Source organism: Homo sapiens, chromosome 14, assembly GCF_000001405.40.
Source record: "Homo sapiens chromosome 14, GRCh38.p14 Primary Assembly".
Classification (NCBI taxonomy): domain Eukaryota; kingdom Metazoa; phylum Chordata; class Mammalia; order Primates; family Hominidae; genus Homo; species Homo sapiens.
The window spans coordinates 106709376-106722904 of record NC_000014.9 but is presented as its reverse complement, the minus strand read 5'-3'; the positions used below and the strand labels follow the sequence as shown (position 1 = coordinate 106722904).

Here is a 13529-nt window from a genome sequence, read left to right as displayed (position 1 = left end):
ACATTGTTGATGAGGATGTAGACGAGTACAACCTCTGTGGAAAATGGTATGGAGATTTCCCAGAAAACTAGAAATAGAACTGCCATTTGGTCCAGCAATCCCACTACTGGGTAACTACCCAAAGGAAAATAAACTATTATTTCAAAAAGATACCCACCTTCTATGCTTACCATAAAACTACTCTCAATAGCACATATGTCAAACTGAGTGTCTGCCAACAAATGATTTTATAAAAGAATATAGCACGTATGCACAATTCAATACTAGTCAGTCACAATAAGGAATGAAACTGTGTCTTTTGCAGCAAGATGCATAGAAGTGGGGGACAATACAATTAGTGAACTAACTCACAAACAGAATGTCACATGTCACATGTTATTACTTGTAAGTGGGAGGTAAACAGTGTGTACACAAGGATTTGTAGAGAGAAATTATACACATTGGAGACTTAGAAGGATGGGTGGGCAGAAGGTGGGAGCATGATGAGTCATTACATAACAGGCACAATATAAAATAATTAAGAATTGACCAATGATCTTAAAATTAAAATGTAGAATATGATCAATAAATGAACTTGATATTAGTTGACCTCATTAAATTTAAAAACTTTTTCTACTCAAGTGACTGTAAGAAAATGAATGCCCGGTTACAGATGAGAAACTGTTTGCGAGTCATATAACCACCAATGTAATTATAATAAGAACCTTCAGAACTCAACTGTGAATAAAAAAGAAACAACTGATGGATAAATTAGGCAAGGGTTTCTACAGACATTTCGTCAGAGAAGATGTGCAGATGACACTGAAGCATATAAACAGGCTCTCAACAGGATTTTCCATTAGAGAAATTCAAATCAAGCCCACAAAGAGACACCACTGTACACTTTTCAAAATGGCTGAAATTAAGAAGAAATACAGATAACATCAATGCTGGTGAGCATACCAGGTTGCTAGAGGCTAAAACATTGCTAACGGGAATGCAAAATGAAACAGATACTCAGGAAAATAATTTTTAGTTTTCTCTAAAATCAAACATACCCTTAACACCTGAATATTTGCATCAGAGAAAAACAATCTTACATTCACGCATAACTTCTATTCAAATATTCAAGATATCGTGTGTATGTGTGTTAGAAAGTAAAAATAACATAAATGTCTCAAAATTTGAATAGGTGAAGAACTAGGAAGCATCTATAAATTGAATACCACCAGCAATAAAAAAAAAAACAAGTGACCAATACATAAACCATTGCAGGTGAACTCCAGACATTGTGCTAAGTGAGAGAAGCCAGTCTCAAAGATCAAAGGGACACAGCTGTAAGCACCACGGTCATCCTCAGGTGTCAGTGGTTTGGGCTGGACTTTCTGTGTCTCTTTCCTGACCAGACCCAGATGTTGAGCTCCACCACTTGCAGATGGAAAATCCTATTTTCAACCATGCAGTGAGGTTTCAACTACTTCACAGACTGAACGACACAAACACGGGCTCCTTTGAACAGCGTCCGGCATTTGTTCCAACCACAAGAGAACGTCCCTCAGCTCTCCCCCCTCCTCGGTTCTCTCCTGCAAGCCAGCAGCCCTGCAGTTTAGTCTGCATCTCCCATGCATCCACCCATCTCCCTCCAAGCACCTTCCCCCACACCCTCCACTGTTTCTGAGATCACAGGCAGGCTTTGAACTTTTCCGCATTCTGTTGTTATTGAAGTTAGGATGTTTAGGACCAACTTAAGGATCATATTTTATGACTGAATTCCAGTGCCCCTTCTCTCCTGGGACAGAGTGCATAACCAAGTTTCTGCAGGTGGAGACGAAGTTGAGCTTTTTTCTTCCTCAGCCTAGGAGATGAGCGCTAATTGGAGGGTTGGGCAGAAGCTTCCCACCATCCCAGCACTTTGGTTCTGGTGGGGCGGAATCGGTGCCATAGGGCAGAGCTAGAAACCGCGGACTGAATGTTCCCAGTGGCACTGGACCCAGGGCAGAGCCTCCATCCACGAGTGGGGCTCTATGGAAGAAGTGAGTCTCTGGCTCTCAGTAGCTCTCGTCCAGCACTGAACCTCAGCATCATGTGCTGTGTGCAGGGTCAGAGGGCCAACGTACTGGCCCCTGGGAAAGCGTTTCCTCTGGTGGGAGTTGGTAGAAGGTGTCCTGTCTTCTTGGCTGCATCTGTCCGCAGTGGAGTTTACATCATGCTGAGCTGGGATGTGGAAGGAAGGAAGAGCATCTTAGATCAAATATGATGACTGGCCTTACTGAGTTTTCTAGATTTTCCTGAATAAATGTTTCTTCACTCACTGTGTGCTGTTAGAGTCTTTCCAAACCTGTAATTTCCCAAAATAATTTTCACTGGTCTCATGAGGGCATGGATTCATTGAGCCCCTCATGCTGTCAAAGAGAAATAGAACTGTTTTTTTTTTCACTTCATAGCGAACATCCATGGGTTATCAAATAATGGGCTGGCTTTTCTTCCAACACTTTACAGACACCATCAATTTTCTTCTTGCTTATAAGGTTTTAACCAGAAGAATGCTGTCATGGTCTTTTCTGTTCTTTTGGAAGGAATGCCCCCTCTACTCACCTCCACTTGTCTGCCTGTATTTCTATTTGTCTTTGGTTTTCAACAATTTTAATAAGATTTACCTAAATGTGTGTGGGGGGAGCATGGGGTGTTATTCTGCTGTTCTGTGTTCTCTGAGATGCATGGATTCACCATTTACTCTGTCTCCATTTTTGTGAAAACAATTAGAAAAAATGTCAGTGTGAGCCTAGAAACAAGCCTCCCTGAAGTGGGCACAGGACCACTTGGGGGCGCACAGGACCCACTGAGCACAAGAGCCAACCTCAGGGCAGGTGCAGATGGGGTTTAAGGTCTGGTTTCCTGTCAGCCCTGTGGCTTCCTCTCCATGAAACAGTTTCCTTTGTGGCATATCTCTGGATTCCTTATCCTGTTCTTCCTGTGAAGTCTCTGAAGAAGAAACATTTGTCGTAACAAGAGAAAAACTTTCTCACATGCACCAAAGGCAGAGTCACCTACAGTCACTTACTCCTGTTTCTCAATGTCAATAAGTTATCAATGCTTCTGAAGTTAATCAGCTAAATCTATAAAGGTGCAGTGTTTAACTCAGCATTGCAGCCCAGCTCAACAGAACTCCAAAGGCCAGCCAGCAGCAGCCAGGATAATGAGCATGCTGGGCATTGGGGCAGAAGGAGTTAGCATCCAGTGCAAGAGAAGAAAGCCCCCGTGGTGGTCATTGTCAGGACTCCAATCCCACAGTTCCAATTGTAGGTGATGCCAGGCAAAGGAAGAGAGACCCCACCAATGGTTAGTGTGGATGTCGAGTTTGATGTTTCCACACTCACACTCCAGGTGAATATGAAAAGATTTATTAGCTCTATTTCTGAGGTGTCTGCTGAGAGCAGCACAGTCCTCTCAAGAAATTACAGATTGGAATTTCCTCAGTAGAGCAGGAAAGGAGGCTGGCTCAGGGCTTTATAATGATTTGGTGGTGGGGTCGGCGGGGGGGGGGGGGGCGTTTCTACTCAGGAGAAGGAGCTTGTGTGATTTAAACCTCACACTGACATCACATGAGGGAGCTTCCATGATTTCTTACTAGATTTCCCATGTGTGGGGGACAAGGATGAGGGAGAATAAACCTTAATTCATCAGCATCAAGGCACCAAAAATAGGACCTGACACTTTATTCTCCCTAGCAGCTTAAGAAAATGAGTGAAAAAGAGAGATAAGAGTCCACCCATGTGCTGAAAAGCATAGCTCTTGGTAAAGACGAGAAAAAGGCACTCCTACGAAGAAGGGGTTGGGCAGAAGCTTTATGCTGAAGGGTTTGGCTAAAGAGACATAATCAACAGGTTACAGGAGGGGCTACTGATGTTCATGGAGGTGGTCCTCACACATGCATACTGAACAAACATGTCTGTAACGTATGACCCCTGTTCACTTACCAGTGGAGACTTAGCATTTAAATTCATTCCAGTCAGGCCCTATGTGCAAACAGCAGAAGCAGAGACACAAAGGTACTCAGGGTGCAGCCTCTGTGAACGGCCAGAGCCAGGCCATGGTCAGCGGTCTCGGATTAGGAGAAAGTTCCTGATATCACTGTAGTGTTCAATCAAAGCTGGGGTTATGGTTTGTGGAACAGGGGTCAGTTCATCAGGGGGTGGGCTGCAATTGTCTTCATAGTGCTTGTCTCAGTGCCGGTGCTTACTGAGCCACTAGAGAAAAAGGTTTAATTGAGCTTCTTTAAAATCAACATTTTGAATTATTTATCAGACGTTTCAAATATGTCATGTTGTTTAGATTCTATTGCTGGAGAGTTAAGGTGATATTTGGGGTTTTGTAACTCTGTTTTTTCATACTTCCTGAATTGCTTATCTGTTTGCTTTTCATTAGCTAAACTATCGCTTCTTCTTATTTTTTAATTCATTCTGATTTTGATGAATATTTAATTCCCTTTAGAATGTGAATATAATGTACATTGTGTGGGTATTTTGATTTTGGTTCTTGGTTTACTTAGTGGCAAAGACTCTGTAAGAGTTCCTTGTCTATAGATAGCCATTATTTAGTGGCTTTCTGAAATGGTGGTTTTAGTACCAAAGTACTGGACTTGTGAGTAGGCTCACTGCCCCCTGCAGGTCCTAGATAGTGGAGGCCTCAGGAACTGTTTCTCATTTGGAATGCCTTTGTTTCAGCAGATTTTGTGTTGGGTTGTTAAGTTCACCCTCCACATTAGTAGATGTCCTTACAGATTAGAGCTGACTCTGGTAGAAGCAGTTGAGTGCATGCTTGATATCTGTGCACAGGGAGAAGCTCTCTGTTGCCTCAGGCGATGGACTGGTCTATGAAATGCACAGTGACCTGAGTTCCCTGCTCAGCCCCTGAGAGGTGGACCAAGCTGGACACACATGAGCCACCGAGCCTGGCAAGCAAAAGCGCCAGCCTTGATGGAAATGGCGAGCTGAGCGGCATCTACTCAGTGTGGTTTCTTTTGTTATTAAGAGCTTTAGTGTGGTGGCTGTTTCAAATTCCCGTTGTAGTAGTAATATACTGGGTATGTGAGCAGGCCCGTGGTCTTTTGCGGGGTTGGAATCACCGAAGTAATGAGAAGCTAATCTCATTTTCAACTGCTGTACACTGGTGGTATTGAGTTTGTATGAGGTCATGCAGTTTGAACGTCAGGCCAGTAGGTGGTGCTCGCAGGTAAGAGCCGGCTATGGTGGCAGCAGAAGGGTTTATGCTTTACTGGTGATTAAAGTGGGAAACTTGGCGTGTTCCAGATCTTAGAGAAAAGATTTTTAGTTATTTCTCATTCAACCTGATACTACCTGAAAGTCTCTCGAATGTAACTTTTATTTTGTCGAGATGGGTTCTTTCTATACCCATTTTTTATGTTTTTTTTGTGAAAGGATGTTGTTTCATCAAATGCGTTTTCAGCATCAATTGAAAAAAGTTATATGTGGATTAAAGATCAAAATGTAAAACCTAACACTATAAAACCTCTGGATAATAACATAGGAAACAGAATTTAGGAGGTAAGAACTGACAAAGGTTTTATAATGAAAATGCTAGAAGTAGTTGCAACAAAATTGAAAATTGACAAATGGGACCTAAGTAAATTAAAGAACTTCTGTACAGCAAAAGACACTATCGACAGAGTAAACAGGCAACCTACAGAATGGGAAATAAAATATTTGCAGCCTATACATCTGACAAAGGTCCGACACTTAGTATATACATGGAAATTTAACAAACATACAAGAAATAAAAAGTGACCAAAGGACATGAAAAGACACTTCAAAAAAGACCTACATGTGGCCAACAAGCATAGGAAAAAATGCTGAATATCACTATCATTAGAGAAATACATATCAAAACCTCAATGAGGTACCGTCTCACATCAGTCAGGATGGCTAATCTTAAAAAAAAAATAACAGATTTTTAAGGTTACAGAAAAAAGGGGAAATTTATACACTTTTGGCGGGAATATAAATGAGTTCAACCATTGTGGAAAGCAGTGTGGTGATCCCTCCAATAACCTAAAACAGAAGTTTCATTTGACCCAACAATCCTACAACTGGACATATACCTAAAGGAATATAAACATGTAGGTTCACTGCAGCACTATCCACAATAGCATAGACATGGAATTTACCTAAATCCCCATCACTGGCAGAATGATAGAGAAAAATGTGGTACATACAACCATGGAATACTATGCAGCTAAGGAAAGAATGAAACTATGTCCTTTGTAGGAACATGATGGAACTGGCAGTCAATACTCTTAGAAAACTAATTCAGGAACAGAAAACCAGATATTATATATTCTCCCTTATTTGTTGGAGATAAATAAAAGCAAATATTCTTCCAGGGCCTGAGTCTTCCTTATTCAACAAGTCATTCTAAATTAAGTGTTCAGCAAGTTGCTGATACTCATCTAAATATTCTATTTCATCTGGGCCACTTACATCACTCAAAAAGCAATGAGAGCTATATTTCTAAGGGGGGTTCTAGGATAATAAATACCTGAATAGTGAGAATATGAAGGATATGGAAACTGGGCCACTTATATCACTCAAAAAGGAATGAGAGCTATATTTATAAGGGGGGTTCTAGGATAATAAATACCTGAATAGTGAGAATATGAAGGATATGGAAACTGGGCCACTTATATCACTCAAAAAGCAATGAAAGCTATATTTACAAGGGGGGTTCTAGGATAATAAATATCTGAATAGTGAGAATATGAAGGATATGGATGGTTTTTTTTTAACTCAATGGGCACATAACTGTGGGAGATACTATATTCCTATGAAGAAGGTATTCAGACTTCAGAGATAAGTAATGTTTCCTACATTGTGCTTGTGACTTGGAAGCAGTGGATTGAAGAGTGTGATAAGTGCCCAGACCAAGCAGAACAGAAATCAGCATGTAAAGATGATGATCTATGGATATGATCTAAAACCATGTAAATACTTCAAATAATTCTATTTAATGCAGTTTGAAATAAAACACAAACTTATTCAAAATACAAATTACTTGGTAATTATTTTGGGAGCTATGAGTTCACCAAGAAACTCAAATTCCTATTTCTATTTCAACCCCTGATTCCTACTGTCAATGGGAGGGAAGTCTCAGAACCAATCACACATCAGACGGCAAATCTGTCAACCAAGAGTCTTTCCACTGAAGGACCTGGGAGGTCAGGACCCTCAGGAAAGTGCTGGGGACCCTGTCTTGGGAGTGCCCAGCAGATCTCAGAACTCTCCATGGGTCCTGCTGGACACTCATGTAGGGTAACGAGTGGCCACCTTTTCAGTGTTACCAGTGAGCTCTGAGTGTTCCTAATGGGACCAGGATGGGTCTAGGTGCCTGCTCAATGTCAGAGACAGCAATGGTCCCACAAAAAACCCAGGTAATCTTTAGGCCAATAAAATGTGGGTTCACAGTGAGGAGTGCATCCTGGGGTTGGGGTTTGTTCTGCAGCGGGAAGAGCGCTGTGCACAGAAAGCTTAGAAATGGGGCAAGAGATGCTTTTCCTCAGGCAGGATTTAGGGCTTGGTCTCTCAGCATCCCACACTTGTACAGCTGATGTGGCATCTGTGTTTTCTTTCTCATCCTAGATCAGGCTTTGAGCTGTGAAATACCCTGCCTCATGCATATGCAAATAACCTGAGGTCTTCTGAGATAAATATAGATATATTGGTGCCCTGAGAGCATCACATAACAACCACATTCCTCCTCTGAAGAAGCCCCTGGGAGCACAGCTCATCACCATGGACTGGACCTGGAGGTTCCTCTTTGTGGTGGCAGCAGCTACAGGTAAGGGGCTTCCTAGTCCTAAGGCTGAGGAAGGGATCCTGGTTTAGTTAAAGAGGATTTTATTCACCCCTGTGTCCTCTCCACAGGTGTCCAGTCCCAGGTGCAGCTGGTGCAGTCTGGGGCTGAGGTGAAGAAGCCTGGGTCCTCGGTGAAGGTCTCCTGCAAGGCTTCTGGAGGCACCTTCAGCAGCTATGCTATCAGCTGGGTGCGACAGGCCCCTGGACAAGGGCTTGAGTGGATGGGAGGGATCATCCCTATCTTTGGTACAGCAAACTACGCACAGAAGTTCCAGGGCAGAGTCACGATTACCGCGGACAAATCCACGAGCACAGCCTACATGGAGCTGAGCAGCCTGAGATCTGAGGACACGGCCGTGTATTACTGTGCGAGAGACACAGTGTGAAAACCCACATCCTGAGAGTGTCAGAAACCCTGAGGGAGAAGGCAGCTGTGCCGGGCTGAGGAGATGACAGGGGTTATTAGGTTTAAGGCTGTTTACAAAATGGGTTATATATTTGAGAAAAAAAGAACAGTAGAAACAAGTACATACTCTAATTTTAAGATAAATATTCCATTCAAGAGTCGTAATATAAGCCAAATTCACAGAGTGGAAAAGGCCACACTCTATAACGTTGATACAAACATTCCATGAAGGTGCTACTGTGAACAAGTTTTCAAATTGGATGAATACATGATTTGGAGCAAGGTTATTTGATCATGTGGTGAGACTAAGAATGATTCTTAAAAAGTGCCAAAAGTTTCCTTCAAATGTTTCTGTCACTCCTTATCATAAAGTTTATTTTACAGCAGTTTTAGGATTACAAAGAAATTGCACAGGAGGCGTGAGAATTCCCATGACTCCCTGCCCTACACAGGCACAGCCTCCTCCACTACGACCATCCTGCACCGCAGTCACAAATCAGTTACAATGGAGGAATCTCCAAGGACGCTTGGTTCTTTCTTTTTCTGGTGATCTCCTAATATAACAAGCCTAAGTATCTCAAGATTCCACGGTTTTTTCAGTGTTTTCTAGAACTGATATTAGTCAGAGGGAAAGTGGGTAAGGCTATTACTATTTGAACTCTTTCTTCCAAAATCCACAAAATATATATTAATTTAGAGCTTATCTTACTTCTGGTTTACAATGCTCCTTCCCAGAGAGTAAGATTTTTAAGCTTTTAGAGGCCAGTTCATGTCTCTAAAAGACCAGAAAGTTCTGGGGAATCCCATAATGAACATCCTTTCATTGGAATTGGAGACCCTGGCAATGAGAGATTCCATGTATAATGCCCTAGAGTTGGATTAGGTGCACTGTGAGCTCTTGGGTGGTGAGTCTGAGTAAGGTGGTTTGTGCAGCAAATGCAAACACATTCATGGGACCCAGGTAGGAACAAAAGCTTCCCTCTGCAAAGGGAGTGTGCACCTGAAGCAGCCCTCACAGAGGTGGGCACTGCTTGCCCTTGATGAGTGCACATTAGCCAGAGGCATGATCATGATTGGTCTTGCAGATAAAGAGCACCACTGAGGTCATAGGTTATGAAAATGTTTGTCATCCTCCAGCTGAGCAAGTCCATCTGCTTGTTTGTGGGTGTCAACTCCATAGAGGGTGCACTTTGGGAGATGACAAGATGCGCACAAACCTGCTCTCACTAATTATCCACTACCACACACTCAAGACCAACCTGTGCTCCGGAAAGGAATACGTGCCTGTGGAAATAGACAGAGCTTAAGTATTTTGTAACCTGGTGAACATACTGCCCAAAGCCACACGTTTCAGGAAGATTAGCTCAGAAATGTTCACCAATTGACTGAAGGGCAGTGGTGGGTGAGGTGATGGGACAGCCTCAGGGCTGCACATGAGGAGGGCTCCCTCCCCCATGCAGGCTTTTCCTCCAGGAGCTGCATCAGGACCTCAAGGAAGATCAGGGAGAATTCTGAGAACACCCTTCTGTGGAGCTGCCTAGAGAAGAAGAATAAATATGAAAAAATACAACTCTGAGTAATGCATGGATATTTGTTCATGAAAACTCTCTCTGAAAGCTTGTGAAGGTCTCGAAATACCCCTGATTAGCTGAAGACAAACATTTAAACCCTCCTTCCACAGGGAGTTCAAGCAGGCTGGATGTGTCCTTCTATGGATGATCTTCCCCAACCCCTTCCTCTTCCCAGCTCATCCCTGGCTCTCTGTGTAAACAGTTCTCATCAGTGGAATGTGGTTGATGAAGTGACGTCTTCAATTTCCTCATCTTCTTGGTGGTCATGTTATTTTTTTTCATCTGAGGGTTAAAAACTCACCTGCATGCAGCACATGACAGGCTAAAATCTCTTGTGGACAAAACGGTAACAAAGGCACCCACCAGGGTTGAGCATCCGTGTTGCTGACAACGACCACCAGGGGTCAACGTCCTCTTCACAATCCTGTGTCAGAGCATCACTGGAATGATTTCATTAGCAACTTCCCAGGAGAATCAGCTTAAAAAATACTTGTCCCATTTTCCATGCAGATATAACCCATCCCTTTTCCTGAAGAAACAGAGCTCAATACTAAATACACTGAATGTTGTTTTTGCTGGTTTTGTAAGTTTGTGACTTTATCACTTTCTAATTTCTGAGTTAGGTGGACCACTCTACATATTTCTCTCATGGGTGTGACCAGCCTTCTGGATGTCAAATATAACTGACTTTGTTCGTGTAAATGTCAACACAAGCTCTTCATGGTTTCGGTGCTCACTGACTACTCTAAACTTACACAATGTGTTTCTTTATTAGCTTTGTTTTCTGGTATCTCTACGTGGCTTATTCATCACGCCCATTTTATGTTACTTGTACAGGTAATTGATTGTTATTTTTAAAATTTACTATTGCTTACTTTAATTAAATAAGTAGGCAATAGCTTAGAATAGAAAATAAGGTAAAGTAAAAGTACATGCAGTAATATTTAATATAAGTAAGCAGGCAGCTGAAAGCAAGGGAAATCTACTCTGCTGTGTAAAAGGGTATGGAGACCTCACAGTATGATGATCTTCTGCAGTTTAATCCATACTGCTACATAAGTGACAACGTCCACTCTGTTTATATCAGAGCTTCCCCTAATATGTACAATGAAGACTGAGCCCAGGTACCTCCAACCAGAATGGCCAGCACCTTTTACCAAGTGCCTGAACTGACAGCAATAGAGATCACGTTTGTCTAAAAAAAAACTCACACTGTAAGGATACCCACCAGTCATATGGAGACAATTAGAAAAAATTAAAGCCCAAGCCTGATAGGTAGTAATTTGTACTTAGAAGAATTAACTTTTATCTCCACATGTTTTTTTTTTAATCATAGAGAAACTACTAGTGGTAGTTCCACTGTCCAAGTTACTGAATATCTTATTCCTAGAATGAGACACTGCACAATGTGTTCTGACACGACAGAACGTAGCTGTAGTTAAGGGACAGGAGATGTGATCACGGGAACACGAGTCTGCGATCCAGCAGTTCTTGCTCCTTCACATTTGCCCAGAAACAAAGACCCCAGCAGAACAATGGAAGCATTGACTTAGGTCTCCACAGTCTGATGTGAGATAAACAGCAGGTAGTTTATGCCTCTGTTTTATAGCAGGAAATTTAATCTCTAAAGAAGGGCCATTTTGGAGATAATACTATTCTCCAGGATGCTTAAATGCCCCCAAACAGAGAGCACTGCAGAGCCCCGTGGCCAGGAGCTACAACACCTGGGTCTGGAAACCACTGGACAGAAATATGAGATTCTCTTACCACATGTATGATGGAACCTTGAAGAATGTTTCCTTCCTTCTCCATAATCACAGCCTGCGATGAACTGGAGGTCCCAGTACATAAAAAAACATGTGTCTGCATTGGATACAGAATTAGTCCCATAAAATAATTGTGCTACTGTGGTGCTCACACTGTTGGACCAGCTGACCAAGAAAGTGTTGTAAGAGCTGCAGTGTCTACTGATTCCTACCATATTTGGGGCTACATTCACATCTATCAAGGGAAAGAGAGATAAGAAAATCTCTCTAGGCCGGGCGCGGTGGCTCACGCCTGTAATCCCAGCACTTTGCGGGGCCAAGGTGGGCGGATCACGAGGTCAGGAGATCCGGACCATCCTGGCCAACATGGTGAAACCTCCATCTCTCCTAAAAATACAAAAAATTAGCTGGGCGTGGTGGTGGGCGCCTGTAGTCCCAGCTACTCGGGAGGCTGAGGCAGGAGAATGGCATGAACCTGGGAGGCGTAGCTTGCAGTGAGCCGAGATTGTGCCACTTCAACTCCAGCCTGGGGGACAGAGCTAGACTCCATAAAAGAAAGAAAGAAGAAAGAAAGAAAGAGAGAGAGAGAGAAAGAAAAATAAAGAAAGAAAGAAAGAAAGAAGAAAGAAAGAAAGAGAAAGAAAGAAAGAAAGAAAGAAAGAAAGAAAGAAAGAAAGAAAGAAAGAAAGAAAGAAAGAAAGAAAGGAAGAAAGAAAGAGAAAGAAAGAAAGAAAAAGGAAATCTGGCCTAGTCTATTGATTTATTTTCATTTCTTCAAAATGAGGTAAAAAAATCGCATCAACTAAAATGCGGACGATGATGAAGTGATCAAAGACAACAGCCACTCAGTGTTTCAGGTGTGTTTTAACCCAAAGTCACACAACATGTGAGAAGCTGAACTCCGGAGCCAGGGGCATCTCTGAGGAGAATGTGGAAGGTGGGCGGGAGGAAACAGTGATTCATGTCTAGGGAAATTTCAGGGCTGCCTGCTCTAGGGGAAAGGAAAGCCTGAGCCTCTCCCACAGTGTGCTCTGTTAAAAATTTTGGCTGACTTATTGTATTCTTCGACACAAATATTTTTGTTTCGTCCTCTTTTAAATTTTTTTATCTCTATTAAAATTCTCACTTTGTTCTTGCATGCTGCCACTAGCTTATTAAACATGTTTCTAATATTTACTTCAAATTTTCTGCCAGGACATCCATATGTTTTTTTATTCATTGATGCCAGATTCTGGACCTCTATGTTGTCTGTCTGTTTGGACCATGTTCCCGTGTTTCTTCATTTTCCTTGACGGTCTTTCTTGCTATCCGTTCATCATAACAAACAGCTCTTTGCTCATCATAACAAAGAGCCACACTCTTCCAAGCCTAGGCTCATAGAGACAACCCTCACCAATCACTCCATCAGTGATTGCGGATCTCTCAAAACTTCATAATGACTTCATAATATTCCAACTTCTGTCTCTGTTCTTAGTGGCCCCCAGGTTTAGAGAACGTTGGGTTGTGCCAGGACTCCCAAATAGGAGAGGTAGAAACTATATACTCAAGTAGCCTCTTGAACAGTGTACCATTAGACACAGTTTTATTATTGAGGTATGATTCATCAAAATAATGTTAGTTCAAGCGCCTCTCAACCAGTCATCTAACATTGAAATGTTATAATTTCTTATTTGGATCTCTCTGGAGTTTATCTTTTGAATATTTAGGTAAAATTACAAACTAGTATAAAGCTATTTGGCAAAATTATCTGCTGCAGAAGTTTCATCTTCTGTGTATCTCTTTTTGCACTTAAATATGTTTTTATTAGTCATGTATCCAGAATATAGAAATATGTCTTAAAGTTCCTTCATTTTTTTAAGGTTATGGGGTTTTCAGAAGAGGTGAGAACCTTCTTTATTTATAAAATACCTGATTCCACATTGCTGGATAGTTTCTTCTT

General features: G+C 42.0%; 1 gene segment (V, D, J or C) and 1 further gene; both read left to right on the top strand.

Annotated features, from left to right (window-relative positions):
• Nucleotides 1-13529, top strand: part of IGH (immunoglobulin heavy locus) — a 1293408-nt gene that overhangs the window by 156940 nt on the left and 1122939 nt on the right.
• Nucleotides 7785-8223, top strand: IGHV1-69 (immunoglobulin heavy variable 1-69). The segment is given in 2 exon segments: nucleotides 7785-7830; nucleotides 7917-8223. Coding segments are annotated over 2 exon segments (353 nt in total), but the record flags the coding sequence as incomplete, so codon positions are not given.